This window comes from Homo sapiens, chromosome 6 (assembly GCF_000001405.40).
Source record: "Homo sapiens chromosome 6, GRCh38.p14 Primary Assembly".
NCBI classification, from domain to species: Eukaryota; Metazoa; Chordata; class Mammalia; order Primates; family Hominidae; genus Homo; species Homo sapiens.
Window position 1 is genome coordinate 61,684,096 of NC_000006.12, and position 23,099 is coordinate 61,707,194.

General features: G+C 34.5%; 1 protein-coding gene across 7 annotated transcripts in view; it reads right to left on the reverse strand.

The window, feature by feature from the left end:
- The window catches only part of KHDRBS2 (KH RNA binding domain containing, signal transduction associated 2), a 743,556-nt gene that overhangs the window by 141,426 nt on the left and 579,031 nt on the right, over positions 1-23,099 (reverse strand). For all 7 annotated transcript variants that reach the window (NR_146870.2, NR_146873.3, NR_146874.3 and 4 more), the window contains one exon: positions 13,100-13,158. Coding sequence is in view for 2 of the 7 variants with exons in the window: in NM_152688.4 (NP_689901.2) it covers positions 13,100-13,158 (59 nt within the window). In the remaining 5 variants the exon portion in view is untranslated. The remainder of the gene's footprint in view (positions 1-13,099; positions 13,159-23,099) is intronic.

Genomic DNA, 23,099 nt, shown 5'->3' on the forward strand with positions numbered 1-23,099 from the left:
ATAGTTACACATTTACAATTGCCACATGATAATGCACGTCAGTTTTTCTTAGTGAAAATATGTTCTTTGGATTGAGATTGGAGAGTACTGAACCAATGAACGTTTTTCCAGTGCCACCATAGAGTGTGTCATTGAACTTTATATGGTTGGCCAAGCCCCTCATTGCTCACCAGCGATATTTAGGCCTCTGGATTTCTTCACTGCAAGTACCACATATAGAAGGGATTCTAACCTGAGTCCCATGGAACCTTGAGCATGGAAGAGGCCCAAACATAGGGAGAGACAAATCATGACTGGGTTCCTCATGATGGGAGTTTCTCTGAAATTTGAAGTTGTAAAGACCCACGAATGAACTTAGAATTTATCTGTCCTCTTGGGTCTCTCAGTAGACAAGCAGATTCTAAATATTTAAAGCCTTCCTACGAATTTTAGAGTCCTGTTTTTTTCTAGTCCCATGGTGTGGTCTAAGATGTCATTTAAAAACTCATTGCATCCAGTGAAATTTAGAAATTTCTTTATCCTTTAGGGAAATGATAAAATAAGTAAGATTCTCTCAATATCAGGATCATTGTCACATGAGAAGCACTGGCTAGGCTATGAATTAATCCAATAACAAATTCCTCCTCAAAAAAGGTACCAAATAACTATACGCCAAATTGAAATTATGGAATGGGTTACATAATTGTGAATCTGAAAATAGCAAATCAGGATATGAGAAACAGAAGTTAAGTGACTTGATCCAATTGCCACCCTTTTTTGGCTTCCAATTCAGGCTTTAAAGTATCATATATTATAAGAAATATTAGATAAATTTATATTTATTATATGAATAATAAAGCATCACTAAACACATTTTTTATTTATTGAAGATCTCCTATATGCCAGTTACTATACTATGTCCTGCATATAAGGACAGTTTAAGGGGCCCATAAAAGACACAGGAAAAAATGAACCTGAAATTTCATAGGTTATGACACAATTTTAATTGATGTTTTAAGAAAATGCTGGGGAAAGCACAGGGAAGGGAGGTCTAACTTTCATCATTCAGTTGAACTTGCATTGAACTCTAACATTTAATCATCTCAAAGAAGAGATTTTCTGAGCAAATATACTTAGTAAGAACACAGGTGCTGTTTAACTTATCTAAGAGAATTCACTTTCTTTAAAGACTTTCCTGTGTTAATTATTTTGTATTATCTGGCCTTGTTTCTAAACTGGACTCTAAGATCTATGAAAGGAGAAATCGTCTACAGTGGTAGACACTGAATAAGAGCAAATAAGAATATTTGTAAGCTGCATATAAATAAATGGTGCTACTAAATAAAAAAGGGGTTTCAAACCAATTATGCAAAATAAGTAAAATAGAACTTTTCAGAAAGGCATTATTAGCAATTAGGTTGTCATGTTGCATGTATACAGTATATGTCAATATTTCTTTCAAAAGTTCTATCTGTTTTTTATTAACTTAGGCTGCTATTTTACCCAGTGAATCAGGTTTTACAGACTGCCTAGAGTGCATCTCTATTTCATGGTAGTCAGCGTCACTGAGGAACATTTGACTGTGATAGAAGAATGTAAATTACCTAGGTAACTCCTGTGCATTAAATATTACTGTGACTTCAAAAGTTTCTGTATCTCAAATACTGTGCGAAATGAGGCCTATTAAGTGCTATGCATTTGTCAATGTGTTCTTATTTCTGCAGTGGGACCAGGTACCTTGGGGAGCATTCACAGTGGGAAAGAAAAATCTGGATGATTTTTAAAGTTGCAAAACTGTGTTCTCTGATAGTTCCAGAGATACTGAGGTAGTTGGGAAAAACATGAAGCATAGGAACGAGGGGTCAATTCAGGAAAAGTTGACATTATTTAAGTATCTGGAAAGCAAACTTTTAATGTTTATCTTTCAGGAAGTAGTTTTAAAATGCCACCTAAGAGGAAATTAATATTAGAGATCAGTTCAGAAAGGATAAAGGAGATCATGGAGCTTACTGAGTGCAGTCATGATACTCTTATTTTGCTATCTTAGATAGCTATTTGTCTGTATATCTGAAATATGGAAAAGAATCTAAAAAGAAGCTTGTTAAACCCACAGCAAAACGAAGGAAGCTCATGCGATTTTTGGTACACTGTAAATCAATATGCAAAAATCACAACTAAAGTAGGAAACCCAAGTTAGTCTCTACCATTACAAACCGCTAGTGTTTTTGCTTTGCAAATCATATAATGGCATTACGACATGGTTGATTAAAATTCATCCTGGCTTTGAGCCACTCAGTTTGTTCATCTCAGCTAAGTTTCTGATGTTTCTAAGGAGTATTATTCTATTTGAAAGCACCTTTCAAATATATGTTTGTTGTTTTGAGGCTATTTAATCCCAAAGAATATGTTAGGTTAGATGTTTTGCTATTGTTGCAACTCACTATTATGATAGCATCCATTTTATTTACTTAATGTTTAAACACCTATCATATTTTAAAAAACTCTATCACAACTTTGAAGGGCCTATCACAGTGCTAGGTGTTTTGTGTATATTATTAGCAAATATCACAATTTTCCTACAAGGTAGCTGTTGACACTACCTTCTTTTTAAAGCTGAGGAAACTATGACTCAGAAAGTTTAGTTGTTGGGAAAATACAGAATTTTTGTCTCTAAATGTCTCACTATCTATTCACCAACCCTTTCTCTTTTTCCTCTTTTTTTCCCCCTATAAAACAAGACTTAATTTATTTTACTTCCCTTAAATTATATAATTAGTATTAATTATATAATAATTAGTGTTGATTCCAACAACAATTAATTAGCCAAAAAAAATGAGATTTACTGTAGTTTTAATTTTGTTAGCAAGAATGTGGGCCGCTTCAACTGAATTTGTGAAGGTGCAAATCCAAAGTGGAATGCAGAGTTCTCTGCACTGCTCTGAGCATTTTAAAATATTAATGGAAATTTGCAACTCAATGGCTCAACCATTTCAACTGTACAACATGTATTCCCACTATTTGTAATTATATAGTTTATTATTTTAAGATGCAGAGGGTAACAGAAGAGGGAGAAATATGGGTGACCAGCATCTCTTTTCACAGATGAACATGGTGCATTATGTTCCAAGAAAAAGGGTTGCTAACTTTGAGTTCACCATCATTTGTCCTCTCAGAAAATTCAATCAGCTTCTGGGAAGCATTTACAACTTTTATCACTCTTTCAAATTTTTAATTAGATGTCCTCTGTTAGAAAAAATGTATCACTTGGGATAATCCATTCAGAGAGTAACAAAGGACTTAGCCTTTCTTTGAACTCCATTCTCAACCCTAAAATCTTACCATGCACATGGCAGGCACTCAGTAATCATTTACTCAATAAATTAATTATATTTAAATATTTTGCATCTTCCTTTCAGACCCATAGGCTTCCCTCAGATGGATTCCTTCACTTTTGAACGGTAGTTCCCAGAGTCTTACAGATGTTCTGCATTTGCATTACTATCCTGCCTTTTTCTTGTTGAAAGATTCCTTTCTGCAATCTTAAAACCATTTTTTAACTTTTCTGTATTTTTATATTATTGTGCTTAATATCTCCAATTTACTTTATGTATATACCTAATTTCCATATTATAACCTGGTTTCACAATTTTATCTTCTGTGCCTAAGCTTAGTTGGTTTGAATTACTGCTATATTCTAATTGTGAACTCAAGGAAGCTTAAAAAATATTCCTGACAAACTTCAGGCTGTGCCAAGAACAATATTCCAGGTAGTTTTGCATGTGATGCATAATTTTTATCAGCTTCTGTTTTCCCAGGTGAGGCCACTGTGATTTGCAATATTAGAAAGAATCCCCATAATTCAAACTTCTTGGTGGTAGTGGTGGTGTTTTCAAATTGCCTATTCAGTTCTAGTCCCTGTCCTATACATTATTGTATTTAATAAATTGACTCAATCTGTACCATTTTATTTCTAATTATCATCCATTAATAATTGAAAATTATATATGTCATTAAAATTTAAACAAACATATTTTATGCTTGACTCTGCTGTATAGTATCCTGCAGCTGTAGAATAATACAGGCCAGTGGTTCTTAACATTTTTAAATAAGTGTGTGTCTATCTTATTGCTATGGAGTTAATAACTCATTTAAATAAAAAGGAGACAAAGAAGCTAGCTAGAGAAAGGATTTTCAAAATGGAACATACAGAAAAAATGGTGAATGATAATTTGGCACAATGTAGAAGGTTATCTGACTAAAGTCTAAAACGTACTTTCATTATTGTCAAATAAAATGCTGAATCATTCAAAAGACTGCGGAATTCAGCTAGAGGCTTTTTGAAATGCACATAAGGAGTTTATAATATGAGGAATAACAGAAGGGAGAATAAAAATGGTGGTATAAAGTAATATGGTATAATTCTCTTCTCAAAGAATTCCAATACTCCCTTTAACTCAGTGAAGAAGGTAGGCTTGGTGACAGAGCTTCATAGACAGAGATTACATTTGTAGTTACCTGATTGTCTTACTCCCCCTACATTCTTCATTTTTCTACCTAAGAGCAGAAATGAGCCATAGTTATAGCAATTAGAGAAAATCAGGTTTTCAGCTCTACAAATGTTAATCTTTCTGTATGACCTACTCTAAGTGCAAGTGCCTGTGTTTATACCACAGTGTGCCTTTCCCTGCTTTTCCAGGTTGATAAATTGGCTCCCACCACTTGTGAAAGATCTTAGTTAGTCTTTGTCCCTGGTTACTGGGAGGTAAGCTCTAAATCCTAAAATTTCCCAAGTGATTGGAGTGTCTTTGTTATTCATGGTGAGCCCCTTCAACCACACCTTATAGTTTATACTAAGGAGATGATTCAAGATGGCAATGGTCATGCCGGGAAGACTAACCATAATATTAGAGTTTGGGCTTTGGCCTATGTGATATCAGCCCAACCTGAGGAGTGGAGAAGGCTGGATATTGATATGATTTAATCTATCATGTCTATACAATGAAACCATAATAAAATGTCTGGACACTGAGACTCCTGTGAGCTTCCCTGGTTAGCAATACTTTTATCTATTATTACATAATGACGTGCCAGGAGGATAATGTGACCCAGCAGCTGTCAGAACCTTCATGTTTGGGATCCTCTCAGACTGTGCTCTTGTCATATGTGTCTCTCTCTTTGACTGGTTTTGATTTGTACCCTTTTGCTATGATAAAACTATAATCATAAGTATAGCACTTTCCTTTTTCCTTTGAGTTGTTCTGAAAAATTATTAAACTTGATAAGACCGTGGGAACCCCCGAATTTGTAGCCAGCCGGTCAGAAGTAAGAATAGCCTGGAGTCCCCCAAACTTGTGAGTGTTGTATGAAGTAGAATTTTGTGGAAATTTTGTGGAAAACTGTGCCCTTAGTTTGTGAAGTTTGGCCTATCTATGGGCATCCCCTTTGTCTCTTTGCTTGCTCTCTCCAATCTTCTCAGAAGTGTAAATCTTAGCTCTTGGCCCATGATTGAACCTATCTGTGCCAGAACTTCTGGATACCAAAAGCCTCTTGAGTTATCTGCCTATTACCTGCTGCTGCACTCCCCTGAGCATGAGGGAGCTTCTACTGGGATCTTCCTGGACAATCGCAAACTTCAGAGAGACTGATCTAACTATTTTAGTTGTTGTCTTTGTTCGTCTATTTTCTGGCATCTCTTGTTACCCATTGAACTAAAGGTTTGATAAGGTACCAGTACGGTTAAGTCATTTGTTCAATACAAGAAGACACTGATTGTGAGTCATATATACATGTATATATACAGATATACATAGATACATATATATTTGCAATGTTGGGAAGAATCCCTGTAATTCAAACTCCTTGGTGGTGGTGATAGTTTTTTAAAATGCCTATTCTGTTTTAGTCCAGAGCATTTAACAATATTCTAGTCCAAAATACTTAGCAAATATGCCATCATTCAATAAATTATGATGCTTGATAAATCAAGTGTAGCACATTTATTTCAGACCAACGTATTTTGTCTTTTTTTCTTTTAATCATGCTCTCTTTTAATACACATAAAAATCTCCCAAATTCTGGAAATTCTGTAATGATTTCCTAAGGTGGCATATCCCTGGATATATTTTTTTTCTTAGCTGGCATACTTCCAAGTGGGCAAAATTTTTCACCATGTTCATATTTTGTATTCTGTACTTTGTGCTTTATAAACAATTCATTTTTCATATATTCTAAATATAAATCTATATCCTATTGAATATCCTTTCTTGTACATGATCTGTTCATCCCAAGAGTTCGACAATAAGTCACTCAACTCTCCCCTCCCTCTTAGCCAAAATGATTGTGCCATTAACTCAGCAGAAAAGGAAGTGATTAAAAAAATAAAAAACACCTTTCCTATGGCTTGTTTTATTGTTTCAACAAGAGAGTTGTTAAACACATGTGGACTATAATTTTTTGTTGACTCTACCTGTTGGGTAAATTTTTTAAAAAGTCAAGGTTGAGATTTAACTGTTCAACACACAATTGTTCAAAAAGGTAGTTACTTATGTTTATTACTACTTAAACTTACAGTTTTTATAAAGTGGACTTAAAATATCAGGTTCTCTAACAAACACAATGTTTGATTACAAAATACCCAGTGTTATAAAAGGAGCCTGCATATAAGTTATGTATCACCTTCAAAAATGCAAATGACTGGCACAGTTTGGCAATTCATCCTTTCAGTAGTCATGAGAAGCAGATACTGATAGGAAAAAATAAAAGGGCTTCAAGTACAATTTGGTCTTATTACTGTAAGAGAAATTATAAAGATAATTATCAAAAAATGGATATTACCAATTAAGATCATAGGATCCTTTGAATGTGCCCCCATGCATGTGGCTATCTAAAACTTATTCTCAACCTTAGCTTACAATGGAACCACCTATGAAGCTTTTAGATAATTCTGATGGCTAGTTCTCATCTCCAAAGGTTGTGATAGATCCAGTCTGGTATGGAAGCTGAACGTTCGTATTTTTTTCAAAGCTCAACAGGTGATCCTAAAATGTGTAATCACGGTTAATAATCTCTGAAACACTCAATAGCAGATTTCTTTCTCACCTAAAACTGTTGGATTAAGGAGTGCATTATTCAAAACAAAATTGAAACTGTAAATACTTTGAACCTAAAATAAGCAATACAAGCATTGATGTAGTGGTGCACTGCTCTTTTTCATTGTTTCTTGCCTAGGCAACATGCTCTGCACTTATTACCAAGGCTAATTGGATTAGATATCAATCTAATGGCAACCCCTGAAATAGCAAAAAGAGAAAGCTAATTTTAAAATTAATTTCACAAATGAATTTTAAAATACTTTAGAAGCATTATTTCACTAGGCTTTCTTCCTTTTAATTACAAATAAAGTTTAAAAATCTATATGAAAAGTAAAGCACAGTCCTATTTTCCCCATAACCTATTATGTAACAACTTTAATACAATAAATCTCAGAAAAAATAAATTATTTGCATATATTATTTTTAAATGACTGATAAATTATTGCCAATATTAAGAAATCTCATTTCCATTTGTAAGTCAATTTTCCCAAATTTATATTCTATTTACTATTAAAAATAGACAGTCTTTGTTCTTGAATTAAATGGCTGCCACAACTGCCAGTTAACTTCATTTTCCTTTGCTGTTTTCACAGATTAATCAATGCAGGCCTTATTTTCACACAGGGAAAATAATCATTCCAGCTCCTCAACACAAAATGAATACATTTGTGTTCCACAATTGACTTGAAGTGAGGCACTCAAATGCCCTAGAATATGGCACAAAATTTCTTTTTGCTTTCATTCATTTCAAGATAGTGTATTAATATTATCCTCCTTGCTTCCACACAGCTGTCATCTAAAATGCCACTAAAGAATGGATGCATAATTAACTCTTTAGCTCATACATTAAATACATTTTAATAAATAGCTCTTTTCTCAGAGAAGAGAATATTTCTGTCCATTCTTAGCTATCAGTCTCAGAGAGAACTTAGAGAGTATTTCTTATGTGAAGCAGTGCTTAGCCAAGCTAATGTAGGCACTGTATTTAAAATGCAGCCTTAGTGAATTATAAGCCATTCTGACTCATCTGAAACAATTATAGTGATTCTGATAAATTAAGAAATATTTTTAAAATGCAGAAACTGATTTGGAATTCCTGTAAGTCAAATATTCATGCTCCAAAAACAAATTCAAGTGATGAGAAATGTAATATTTAAATGTTAATAGTAACCAATTGAAAATTAATTAAATATTTAATAAATACCAATGCATTAAACATTAATATTTATAAGATAATTATATGTTAATAAGTCATTTATAATTTTAATATTTAGATGTTATTTACATTATAATGAGCAAGATAGTTTAATATTTAATATTAAATTATTTGCAAAGATCCTGAATAATTTAACTGTGATAAAACCTAAAATAATACATTATTTTCTCAAAGTCAATATATTTATTATTTCAGTGATAAAATATAGGCCCCAAGGAGACAAATACAATTTCAGTTTTCATACACAAAACATAATGTATGAAGATTTAGAATGAAGTGTCCCACTGAAGGACTGAATTTTTATTTCTGCTGGCTTATTTCAAATCATTTCTAGAGGAAGTCCAAATGAGAAGCTCCATCTCTGAGTCTTTGGAATGCAGAACCCTGCCATTCGGGAGAGCATTCCTTCTTCCTCTCCCAATGCCTTCACTTGTCCCCACAGTTCTTCCTGCCAATGTGAGCTGCAGAGGAAGGTGCCTGGGACAACTGACTCTGAGACTCCTCACATAACTCTCCAAGTCTAGGGGGTTGCCAGGAAACTAAAAATTGAGGCTATTAGTTTTGTAAAAATACAGACATTCCATTGGAATTTAGTATCAGTCTACGATACGACCACAATGTAACACAGAGGAGTTACTGATTCAGCATGAAAGTGAATGAATAACTGGAGATATGAGATTTATATTTTGGAATAACTATTATTGATTTAAAATATTGTGTACCATTGACTAAAGATAAATTATAAATAGATAATAGTTAATATGTAAAGTATGGACAATTAATAAAAATAATCAATTGATATTTGACTTGTGTGGGTCCTCAAATCACTGCTCATCATCTGTATTTACATTTTATCATCTGCCTATTTGGATATTTTATTATAAGCAACTTATCACCAACTACCTAATACCTAATATCCTACTACATGATATCTAATACCACAATCTGAGTGCACATAATGCATATTAATTTAATTGGGCTGCAAGGTTATGGTGCTGAGCTCTTACTATTCTTTGTCCTCTTACTTTGTCCTTGCTCTATTGCCTGCATAGGATATGAGAGCAAGAAGATTCTCAAAATTCAAATCTCATGACCATATGAATCTAGAGCAAGTACTTTAGTTTTTGGCTGTGCAAAAAGAGGAATGAAATTTAGTTAGTAAAATAGGTAAATACAAGTTATTAGGTAAAAATTGCTGCCTAATTAATATCTTCCTTATTCTGTTCAGACAGTAAAATCCCTTTCTACATTTTCCTTATTACTTTATTATGAAGAATTTATTGGCTACTTTCTATGTGCAGAAAATTTCTTGTTGGTAAGTGGTAATTTGGCCCAGAATGAAATTTAGTGCTTATGAGCAGTTAGTTCTCCTAAAGTAAAATGCATTACTTCTCTCTAGACTTTGCAACAGCAGGAGAACCAGACTACAAAGAAAGTACAATATAAGACTCGGGATTATAGAGGTGAGCCCTGGCCCTCCAGACCATAACCCTTGCATCTCCATTAAAAGGCTTGAGAAGCAAGAGTTGTATTTAAACACTTTTTCCAATAGCATTACGTGGCATTGACATTTCAAAATGTAAATAATTCCGAAATAGAAATCTCATCTCTTATCACCAGTGATCCTGCCAGATATCATCAAATTTATCCTTTCCTTTGATCTCAGTGCATGTAATTCTGTGAAGCTCATGAGCATGATTTTCCTCAAATTGATGTAGCAAGTGTAAAAAATGATTGTATTTTGCAAGTAAAAGTTTGATTTTTCAAAAAATGACTACTTACAAATAATAATATGCCTTCTCATCAGAACATAAGCTTCAAGAGATTGTTCACTACAACATCTCTAAGATTGAGATCAATGGCTTACATGTGTTAGCCATTAAGTAAATACTTGTTAAATGAGTAATGTTCTCTAAACGTGTATAAAATTATTACTTAAAATGGTTTAAAATCTGGTGCAAACTTTTATATGTAGTTGTAAGTTTCTCAACACCAAATAGCAGAAACCAAGGAGGGACAATGTCCACCCTGTACATCATCATGTTCTCAGAGACTAGTGATACCTATATGCAAATTTTCAATGAATTAAAGAAAGGCCCAGTTTGTGTCTTATTCATTGATCATCCTGTGTAACCAATTGTACAAGGCTTGCGGCCTCATTCCTATATGATTAAGAATGTGCTTGGAACAATAGAAATATATTTATTTTTGTGTTGAACTCAAAGAGTGCTGCAGGGGCAGGTGTGGATGCTCTAAAATGCTAGGCAATCTTACACCTCAGCCTGGCTGGCCCCTGGTGTGGCTTTGGAGACAGCCTGGGATTTGGATGCTAGTGTTTTTATTAAATACCATCTAATGCCTTTGACCCCTTCCTTCCAATGAGTGGAAATTATATAAGGAACAAAATTATAGCTGCACTTCCTATGGCAGCTTATCAACTGAGCCAGAACTGTGCAGACTTGTTCATCACTTGTATTTCTGTGAAATAATTTCTGAAATTATGTTAATTTGTTTTGGAAAATAGTTCTGTCTCCTATAACAGCAAAATATTAGGTTAATTTGATTAGTGCTAGAGAAACTTAGATTTGGGAGAGAGTAAGCCTGGTGCTCATTTTGGATTAATTATTTACTTTTTTTCCTGAAAAATAGTATAAAAGATCTCCTTCCCCTTAAAATAGTGAAATAGCAAGTGATAGCATTTTGAGAAATCCTAATTTAGGAAGGACGATTTAGGATTTAGGAAGGAAGCTGAACGCCTTTCCTTTAAACAAACTCAGGTTTAAAGTACCACATCCTGTTCTTTTTACCAAGTCTACTGAACCCTGCTCCCACCTCCTGACAAAACAAACAAACAAACAAACAAACCCCCAAATAATCAGACACACTTGAATTCACATTCTTGTTCTGTTACTGGCAAATTGTTGAACTGAGGCAAGGTACTTAATGCTCTCAGTCTTAGTTTCTCACCTGAAAAATGCAGATGACAATATAAGTGTGCATCCCAAAGTCTTATCTGTTTCCCATCCTTCTCTAGAGGATTCTAATGGAGGTTAGAGTAAACAAATAGATAGATGTATAATTTCTATAAGGATTACTTCTGCAATTGCTAATCCTTATTATAAAATGCTTAGTACAGAGCCATAATAGGTACTCCATGTGTGGTAGCAGCAATTAATAGTATTTCAACCACCGATGAGAATATAAGAACAGAAGTTGAGCTTCATAGCCATACTCTCACATTGACTTCACCTTTGTTGTTCAGTTTCCTCATAAAAATGGAGATAAAAATACTTAATATTTCAATTTACTTTAAAGAAATAAATACAAAATATCTGTAACTAATCAGCCCATGGTTAGCAATAATTGTGGTGGTGGCTTATTTTTCTCCTCCTATTTCTGGGCTTGGCCTTGTGTTAGTCAGTTTATGACTGGTTTTAAGGAAGATACTCTTCTTCCTTTCCTCTCAGCATCAGGACGTGCCCTTCGCCAGCCTGATGCAGCATCATATGAAGCCCCAAACACAGCAATAACCATTGTTTCCTTTTCTCTTCCCCACAGAGAGGAATAAAGTGAACATGGTATTATTTAATTTATTTATTTTTGTTAGAGACCGGGTCTCACTATGTTGCCTAGGCTGGAGTGCAGTGGCTATTCGCAGGCATGATCATTGCACAATTATGGCTTCAAACTTTTGGGCTGAGGCAATCCTCCTGTCTCAGCCTCTGGAGTAGCTAGGACTACAGTCATGCACCAATGCCAAGCAGCCTTGGTATTATTTTAATAAAAATTCAAGACTATAAATATTTAAATTAGTAACATTTTTCAAGGTGGTCAGCTAGTGATGCCATATATGTATTTTATTTATTTATTTATTTATTTATTTATTTATTTTTGAGACTGAGTCTCGCTCTGTTGCCAGGCTGGAGTGCGGTGGCACGATCTCGGCTCACTGCAACCTCCAACTCCCTGGTTCAAGCTATTCTCTTGCCTCAGCCTCCCGAGTAGCTGAGATTACAGGCATGCGCCACAATGCCCAGCTAATTTGTTTTGTATTTTTGGTAGAGACGGGGTTTCACCATGTTGGCCAAGATGGTCTCACTCTCCTGATCTCGTGATCCGCCCGCCTCAGCCTCCCAAAGTGCCAGGATTACAGGGGTGAGCCACCACGCCCGGCCACATATGTATTTTAAAGAATCGCAAACTATGTCTCAAACATGATGTACTGTATTGATATATCATAGAAATTCAATAGATCTTAACTGAGTATAATTATGATTAATTTTAAGTGGCATTTTAATTAAGGAATATATTTTTTAAATAAATTGATTTTATAGACTGACATCCTTATTGACTATCAATTTTTTTGAGCCAAGCATTATTTGGCTATGCATGCTAGAAAAATAACTTGAGAGTTATTTTATAGTAACAATTTCTGCCCTTAAAGTTTGTAAATATTTTAAATGTATGTTACTCTGATGATCTTTTGACAGCAGAAAAGACACAATATTGTTGCCAAATCAATGAGTCAGACAATGAACACAGTTAAACATACAAGACGCTATTCAGAATGATCACTGTTGCTGTTGAAAATGATTTATGATTGTGATTAATTGCTTTTAAAATTTTGATCAAAATTGATCTGTCTAATTTTCTGGTACTAGCTGTGTAAGTCAAATCTCACCCTGGAATTACATGAATCAATTTAGTCTAGACTTCTGGAAAAACTAGGGGGAGAAAGATGGAAATAATGTTTGAATTGTCGGTGACTGATGGATGTTCCGATTTCACAGTTTTAGTAAAGAAAAGGTCTTACCGTAGCTGTCATAGGCATCCTCACTTACTCCATGACCGTAGTCATAGTATTCAGGCACACTGCAACAAATTTAGATAGCAATCAATGTTACTATAACCAGGAAATTCAACCCAGAAACTCATATGGAATTTGAAGGCAAAATGTGTGCTGAGGTAATATTCCAGGAACTTCAAGGCATAAAACACAATCCTAAATAAATCTTCAGTAAGAAAAACACAGGTTATTGACAAGGAGTGCTATGATTTTTTTTAATGCCATCTCAGTATTTCTTTCTCTCTATCCACCAATTTGATAAATCAAATTTCCCCTAAAACACAAGTATAACACTTCAAAATCTGTCAAGAAGAGAGTTATAAAAGGCCTATTTCCAAGAAAAAGTGCTCTCTAAGATGACAATCTGGTCAATCATGTATAGCTTTTAATGCTGTTATCTTAAGAAATATGCATCATTTTTTCACTTTGAAACACTAAACTGTATTTATAATCCCCTTTATCCCTTTTACATCATGTCTGTGCACTCCCCAAATATATAAGCTATTTTGTTTCACTCGATATTTTGCTAGATGCTTCCATATTTCAATAACTGTCAAAGGTGTTCTTCCTCCATTTCTTACTCAAAGGAAACTCTCTCTCTGACTCACTCTGCTACCCCTTTACAATTGTCCTCACTGTTTCCTGCTGCATCCACTTCCCCCTTTAAGGCATAATGCCTATTAGCACTCCAAAGTCTTACGTGTTTCTTATCCGTAAAAAGCTCTGCCTCATCCACATAATTCCTTCTAGCAACTATCCCATTTCTTGAAAAGAAGTGACTTTACTCACTCTTTTCACTGACTCTTCTCCATAGGCATTTGAAGACAATCAGGCTGTCGTTCCACTGCTCCACTGAAACAGCTCTTGACAAGATCTTAACATTTTCACATTCAATGGTCAAGACTTAGTGTTCATTTTACTTTAGCACCATTTAACACAGTTGATTATTTCATGATTCTGCAAACATTTCACTTGCTTCAGATATCTCCTCTTTCATGGGTCTTCAAGTGCACTTCATTTCTTCATTTTTCCCTATGGTTACCTTCTCATTTTTCCAATCACTTATTCCTGGAGACCACTAGGGCTCAGTTGAATGTTTCTCTTTTCTATTCATACTTACTCCCTAGGCAGTCTCATCTGGTCCTAATGTTCTATCTAATAGCAAATTCACTTCGAATTGCAAAATATATCCAGAATCTGAACACGTCTAAACATATCCACAGCTATCACTGAGTTAAAGTTATTACTATCTCTCATTTAAATGAGTATGCTATCCTTCTAAGTGGTTTCTAGGCCCTGATTGCTCTGTTTCTATTATCGATGTAGCAGTCAAAGTCATTCTTATAGAAGTAAGTTAGATCATATTAGCTCCCTACTCAAAATTCACAAATAGCTTCCCCATAGTCTTTAGGAGAAAAATAAAAAATTCTTATTTTGCTTACACCATTTGTCCCCCCCTTGTATTTCTCAGACCTCATGCTCTAACACTTTCTCCTTGCTCACTCACCCTACTCAGGGGGCATGGCCTCCTAGATGTTCTCTGAACATTACAAACACATTACTGCCTCAGGGCTTTTTCATTTGCTGTTTCTCCTACCTGAAACAGGCTTTCTCTAAATGTCCAATTGTCCCTTTTCCCATTCTTTCAGAGCTCACTCAAATGTCACTTATGAGAGATTTCCCTGATCAGTCTATTTAGACCAGGGACCACCTACCTTGCTTTGCTCACCTTAGCATTCATTGATCATCACCATACATATTATATAAACAAACACACAAACACCCATTTGCTTATTTATTTATTGGCTGTTCCCCTCTTCTAGAATATAAACTTCTTGTTATAGAAAATTGGTCTCTCATTTATTTCATTTATTCATTTGCTGTCGTTGTTCCAAGCAGATTTTCTAGAACAAAGTTTGGCACATAAGAGCTGCTCAATGAATATTTATAGGACAATAGAATAAATTACTCATAGGAAGCCCAGACACCATTTAATTGAGTAGCCTAATAAAACCACGTCACAATTTAAAAAAATAACATGCAAAAGAGAAATTTAATTTAATTTAATTATTATTGGGCTAATTCATGTATTTTTAATCTTACTGAGGGATCTATAAATATTGATGATACATTATATTTTCCTTCAAATACACTTCTTGGTTTAAAGTTAGATGTCAAGCATTGCCCCCCTATATAATTCTTAATTTATAAGTTACCTCAAGGTCAGTAATTCATTTTAACTATATAAAAGTGTATCAAGACAATGGCTGAATATCAAAAACCAAATCATATAAGGGCTGAGGGTAGGGGATAGATGCCAAAGGGTTAGGATGGAAGGAACGACAGAAGGGCCTAAAATTAGATGTTCTCTGAATGTGGTTATTATTATCCCACAAAGCAATTCCATAGGTCTCATTATTTTAAGTACTTTTGATTTTATTGATAGTAAAGCAAGAGAAGCAGAAAAAGAAAAGAAAAGTCTATATATCAGAGATAAAAAGAGGGGCAGAGAGAACTTTGGTCATCCTTATCTTCCTTGGAGGCAATTTATAATGCATAAACTTCAACATAAGTGTAAAGAAGCCGAAAAAATGATTGCCTAGCTCAGCCCTCACTGCCCAACATGTTTACATTCAAACTGTCTAAAAAATTATGGTAATGTGTTCTCTTCATCCTTCGAATGACTTGAGATTGTAGAAGGCTAATGGCATTGGCTGGAATCTGGATGTGTATCTCTTCTTTCACATACTTGACATGATAAAAATGATGCAACCCAACTCAGAGTCCTCATATAGGGGTAGCAAATTCCTGAGAGTTGTTAAATTGATTCCTTAAATGATTAAGAGGTGGACTTCATGAGAAAATAATTTAACAAGCAGCAGTCCCACTTATAGCAGCATAGAGGAAAATGCTGGCATTAAGGGAAGCTTCTCCTTCCCTTGTCATCATCAATACATTTTCTATGAGTAAGCCCCGATCATGTTCCCCAAAGTGTGCTATGTAGCACTATAACAGCATCAAGTGGTATTAATATGTTTCTCACTTTTTATTTTAATTGCTTAAGATAAGAGACAGAAAAAGAACAGTAGTGGGAGAGAATATGATAAAGAAGCACAGTTATTGTCTATCATAAGTGATACATACACAGCAAGAGGGAATTTTAACTTTCAGAACTCTAAACAAGGGAGAACAGAGCATACTAGATATTTGTAAAATAATGGAAGATAATGGAAAATGATGTATAATAATCAAAATGGACTCTGCCACAGTCTATACCTTAGATTATTAAAATATAACTTCTCATTTCTTCCATAGATAAATGTTTACTTGGACAAATGGCTGCACTAATAGTGAATACACCCTTTCAGCTAGATGTGCCACCCTTTCAGCTAGATGTGCCCTCGTGACTAAGTTAGGACACATGGGATGTGTGCAGAGATGGGAGTGTAAATTAAGATCCTTTCCCGTTTAAGAATAATCTCCTCATCCTGGGCTTGTGCACATTTACCTTCTCAGTTGGTAGAAGGCATTCAAAGTGATGATCTAGTATCTGCAATGCAAACAAAGACAATGCCTTAAGAAGTCATCAGTTGCAACACGGGAGGTACCTCTGCCTCTAAAAGATCACATGGAGCAGACTTATTTTACACTACTGCTTGCCTCGGGGATTGTTAAGAGAAAAATACATTTTAAAAATATTATTTGAGTCACTGAATTTTGAGCCTCTGTTACAACAGAGTAGATGAATACAGGAATAACTATGTAGAAATGTGGAATTACCATTTATATCCCAAACTATAGGGCATTATCTTAGTGGGAGGGTGGTGGGTGCAAAGAAAAAAATACTTTAGGGTGAAAAACTGATGGCCCTTGTTATGCCATTGCCAGTGACAACTTGGAAAGCAGGCTATGGGCCTGGATATACTTTGCTCGAGAAAAATGTTGAACAAAGCCCAACTATTGGTGATCCTTGCTACTTTTTAGAAAGGTTTACAAATTATAAGAGCTCAAATAAGAATGGTCATTTTACAAGATGAAACAAAAGTGAACAGAACTTTACTAAGAGTGGCTTTTTCTGATTTCTGTGTTAGTTCTATAATTTAAATTGATAGAAGGTTCAAAAATTTGAGGCTTAACAGGATACAGTGAAGCTAGTTACTTCTCTATTTCAATCGCAAGAGATAATATACAGTGCTCAAAGATGTCCTCACATCTTTCCATTGGACTTTGCTACCATATATGACCCCTAGAACAATCCTTAGGCTTCCAAACATACACCAGAAGAAAGCATGCTGCAAAAATTGTAAAGTTCCCAAGGAGGGCATACTCTACTTTACTGGATTAAGATACGGCCATGGATAAGTCCATTTATCCACTGGGATAAAGAAGACCCTTCCAGGGTATCTGGCTTAACTCCCAGAAAAGAGAACTGAGGTTGCCAGATGCGCTTATTAAAAAGACAAAACAAAACAAAACAAAACAAAACATTTCACTGCTGTTTCTAGGTGCCTTTACCTCTTGGCAGGATTTTATAACTGTTATTGCCCACTGAGTCTTATGTGTTTTCTTCTGTTTTTCTAATGATAGTTTCTATTGCAGTTATTCTGTTCCCCTTTGACCATTTTACATTGTGTGTTTTGTATGGGGTAGAAGGTTGAGAATAAGAAAGATAATCTAACATTTTTCAGGTTGCCAAATTGTAAAGAACTACACCAATACTTAATGTGGAGATGTGCATATTTTCTAGAGGTCCTGGATTTTGGACTGGTTGCAGTAATTGGAATGAAACTTAGATTTTCTTTGTTGGGAAGAAAGTAGGTATTTTTTTTTTAACAGAAAGAAAGATAATCACTCACATGTGGATGACTAGAGCATTGGGCTATAGAAGACTTCTCGTTGTTCCCCTCTACAACCAATCTGTCCCTTATTCCATAAGAGATACTGATCAGCTCAAGACTACATTTTCTAGTCTCCTTTACCTTTGAGTGTCTATGTGCAGAGTGATGTTACTAATTTTTTACGACTTGTTTATCCTCTATTTCCTTTCAGTTTTCATGTAACTGGCTGGAAATGGCAATGGCTAGAGTAACTTTGGACTCATGTTAATGATGGCTTCTCACTAGCCTGGATCAGTGAATGATGCCATGGAGCAGAGCCCACCTACCTGCCCTAGCCTATTATGTAGGAGAGATAAACTTTTCTCTTGTTTGAGCCACTGAATTGTGAGACATCCTTATTATGGAAGCTTAGTCCATATCCCAAATAATATAGTTGGCAATTAATACAATCCCCTGAAGACTAACAGACATTCAGTAACATTTGTCGAATGAATGAATAAATGTTTTAATTTTAAAGACTGAAACTAGAGATCATTGTATTTGAACATGAATAATCTTAGAACATTTTAAAGGAAATTTGTTTATAGAACTTTGTGTATGCTTTAGCGGGATGTCCACTTATATTGACAGCAATTGGAACAGTAAAACAAAAACAACTCATGTCTTTTCTGATAAAAATAAAATTCAAATAAAAAGTAATATATTAATCTGCTATTGGCTCCTGCCTCCTTCACTCCACTTATTTACGTATTAATCTATTTCATTATTTTTAGTGTCTAAGGTCTAGAAGTCAAAAAGCCAAAATCGTGTGTAGAATTTTACTAATAATTAGATATATTTTGAGTCAATGCAGCTAACATTATATATCTTGATTTTAAGTATGTGCCACTTCCTAGAAAAATTATACCTGCTATAACCACCGAAGTAATTAAGTTCCAAATCACTGATAATTGCCATAATTTTAATTAAAATCTCTGTAATTGTAACAATGTGTTTAGAAACCTTAATCACTATATTTCTAGAATATAAAATAGAATAATAGTGAATTAAAAATTAAATAACCAGGTTGTATTTATATAAAATCCATTTGTCTACATTTATTCCTATTTCAACATGATTAAAGAACATGATAAATGAAACAAATGTAATAAAAATAGCAGCTTTCTGAAATAATGAAAAGTATACAGCCAACTTTTGCCAGTCAATGTCACATATTTTAAAAATTCATTTTATTATTTTATTGCATATATTTATGGTTTAAACACGAGCTTTTGATATACATGGTGAAATGGTTACTATAATCAAGCCAATTAACTTATGTTAAAAATATTATGAAATAACAATATGAAAATTATATGTGAGGGATATATATCTAACTATTTTTAGCATTTAAGGGGGTATTCTTAAATTTTGTTCTCATCAGCATTTACACTGAAACCTTATTATACTGTGCATTTATATTGTATTGATAGAGATATTAGTCAAGCAAAGATAAATTTTCAGCCAGGTCCCCATCCTCAAATTGCAAATTGATAGTGCCTTTATTTTTATATCCACTTATGTGTCTATCAAATTATTCTATTAAGCTTCCTAAAGCTCCAAGAAAGTGCTATTTAAAAAACATTAAAACTACTGTGTAGATGAATGAGTATAACACACATGTAGATATATCAACTCTCACCACCAACCAGAACCCCCTCTTAATGTCATTCATGGTATTCACTAAACACTGATAGATTGAAGGAATGGGAAACCTTTCACCAAATAGCTCAAGACTCCACAACTTCCATCCACATCTCAGTACTGTTGTATTATCTGCTAATTCTGATGGTTATCCTGAATCTTCCCTTGGAGGAGAACATCTATGATTCCCAGTGCTGAAGGTGAAGTTAACCAACAGTTCAACTTTATGCCTATGGTGGGAAACCTATACCTATGGAATGCTTATGTTGGAAAACCTATTTGCAGGTAGGTTTTAAAGATGATTTTCATTTGTCTATTCCTTCTAGACAAAGTCTTACCTTCCCATAGAAACTAGCTGCATGTGTCTTTCCCACCTTCACCTATCCCAACACATTCTTTCATTTTCATTATCCCTAACTATACAAAGTAATAATATAACAACCATAAAACAAAAACAAATGCCTAGTAGCTACATATACATACATTCAGTCTGTTTTTTAAAACACTAAACAACAAATAAATGGGGCTGAAAAAGGCTTCACGGAAATTACAGTCTAATAGAAAAACCATTAAACAAGTGTTAAGGAGTCATTAATTCATTCTTTTTGTTGTTGTTGTTTTTCATCGTATATGGAAACCCTAAAAATAAGTAGGAATTTCCTGGGTAAGATGGAATGAAGAAGCCTTATGGTAGGGGGTCAGCACCAACCAAGTCCCAGAGGCAAGAAAATGTGTGCCATTAGCAGCTACTTTGCTGGAGTGACCGCGTATCAGTATTAGGGAGAGAGGGGCTCAATATTCAATCTTGAGACATATACAGGGACCAAATCTTGAAGGACCTTGTCTTAACATGGTAAGCAGTTTGGATTTTATATTAGGAGCCATTGAAGACAATGAAGGATTTAAGAGGGAAGCATGATTATATTTTGGCTTAAACAGGTCACTCTGCGGGCAGTGTCTTTCCTTTTTGATGCCTTATCATCAACACCTGGCACATTATTCAACACATAGTAGTGCTCTACAAATATTTATTGTGTAAATAAATGTATAAGCAAATCATTGTAGTATGAATAATTTTCACAATTGATCTCTGCTTTGTGTTTTTACACCTATATTTCCTTTATATCCATGAACTTGGGCTTTTTTGTTAAATTAAAACGTGAGAAAATTGACATATTAAGATAAATGATTTGTAAACACAATTTATAATATCTCAGGTCATTAGATGCTACATTTAGGATCCATAATTAAAACTGCTAAATGTAGTTTTTATACAACTTTGCAGGATAATTCTGGGCTAACTTCACTCATCAACTCAAAAGCATTTTGAAAGGTTTGTAAAATCTGATATTTTGGAGGCCCAAACTCAAATGCATAGATTATTAAGAAGCAGGATTTGCTTAATTCTCTTTTTGCCAAAATTTTAATAACATCTGCAGTGAAAGAGAACCTATATCCATTATATGCTAATTCCTAATTGATTTTACTCTTTCCGACTCCCTACCCCTCTACCAACTGATTTCTGAATTTTAAAATAAGAGGGGGCCTTAAACAACAAATTAAGTAATCTGTATCTTTAACATTCTTCTACTTCTTCTCCCCTCCAAGAAACAAAAATAACCATAAAAAATATATATTTAATGCTTCTCTGGCACTTGGTACACACCAAACACTGCTAAGAGGTTTACATAACCTTTCTTATTTAATTGCCACAATTTTTGAATGATAGTATTAGCCCAAGACCAGAAAAGAAAATTTATTTTTAGCTAATTAAGTTACTTGTCCTAAACTAATCCAGCTTTGCAATTCATCCAGTCCATAATATGCATCCAAAATAGTCACTCTCATTTGTATTTGCATAATACCAGACTTAAAAAATGGGTAACTATTTACAGTATGATCTTGAGCTGATTGAGATTAGGAATATTAGATGAGCTGTGAGCTCCTCTCTACATTTAACTGTCCTGCTCTTCCTTCTCAGAAAAATCTCAGCTACCATCAAGAACAAGGTCCTGCCCCAAGCACACATGCTTCTCAGCACCCTCTCAATCCCTTTCAATTTTTTCCTCCTCTGGGAAGCTTTCTCAGATACCCAATAACCCTACAATGCCTACAATGCTATACACCTCCTATAAATAACATGGTATTGTTGAAAATCCATCTTTATATGTGCTATTATTTGCTTATCTGTCTTCCCTACTAAAATGTGATTTTCATGAGGTCAGGGCTATTTGCATCATCATTGTATTCCCAGGGGGCAACCCAGTGCCTGACACATAGTAAATGGAATATTGGCCAAATGAATAAACTGAAGTATTGGAACTTCTGTGCTTTATATTCATTCCAACTCTAAACAGCTACCTCCTAACCTGCAATCCTCATCCAACAACTCATTGCATCACCATTGATCACCACCCAGCCCTCCCTGTGTACTCTCCCTTTCACTACGCTTTCTACTTCGGGACCCTCATGCGATCTTATGCCACTGATCAATCACCTTAGCATTCAGTTCTATCTGGAACAAGCTACATAATTTCCTTTACCACTTTCCTTGACTCTTCCACAACTTCAATAAGAGTCAACTGTCTGACTATATTTAAGAAATGAGTGGGAGAACCTAAAGGTTTTGAGAAGTTTGTATCTAGAAAAGTAGACTTGGCTATTAGACAGCTCCTAAGTGATAAGGAAAAGATGCTACTCAGAGAGGATAAGACATGGGCTGAGAGATTTAGATAAGAAGACTGGAAACTATGCCAGGTAATGAGGCTTGGGTTTAAGGTATGGAAATTTGAGATCATTCTCTTTTACTACTTCTCATGGGATTGAGGACCAAAGCCTTTGCCTTCTATTTACCTAGACAATTGTGATCACATAAAAATCATTACATAATTCAATAAGTATTTAGAGTACCAGTACTATTCTGGGAATACGAAGTGGAAAAGATATATTAACATACCACTTAGATATGTTGGAATAAAATATATAAATGTTGCAAGGTATGCATGAACAGAATAATATTGTGAATGTTTTCAACCTACTTTATCTCAGTTTATGTGACAAAATTTATTTATAACCTATTATGTGCCAGACATTATTCAAAGTGTTAGGAAATACACAGTGAACAAAATAGGCAAAGATTATTTGCCCTCATGGAGTTCACAAGTAAAATACTATACAAGTAAAAAACAAAAACAAAAACAAAAACAAAAACAAAACAGTTATAAGTGCTAAGGAGAAAAGACTAAATCTGGAAGGGGGAACATTAAGTTTTGGGATAAAGGTAAAATTATAGTTAAAGTGGTTGGGAAAGTCTTTACAGATGACATTACACTGAAAAAAGACCTGAAGGAGTTAAAGGAGTAATCTTTGGAAATTCAGAGGAAGAGCATTCTAGGAAAAAAGAATAGAAAACATAAAGGCATTGAGGGAGGGGTGTACTTAGGATA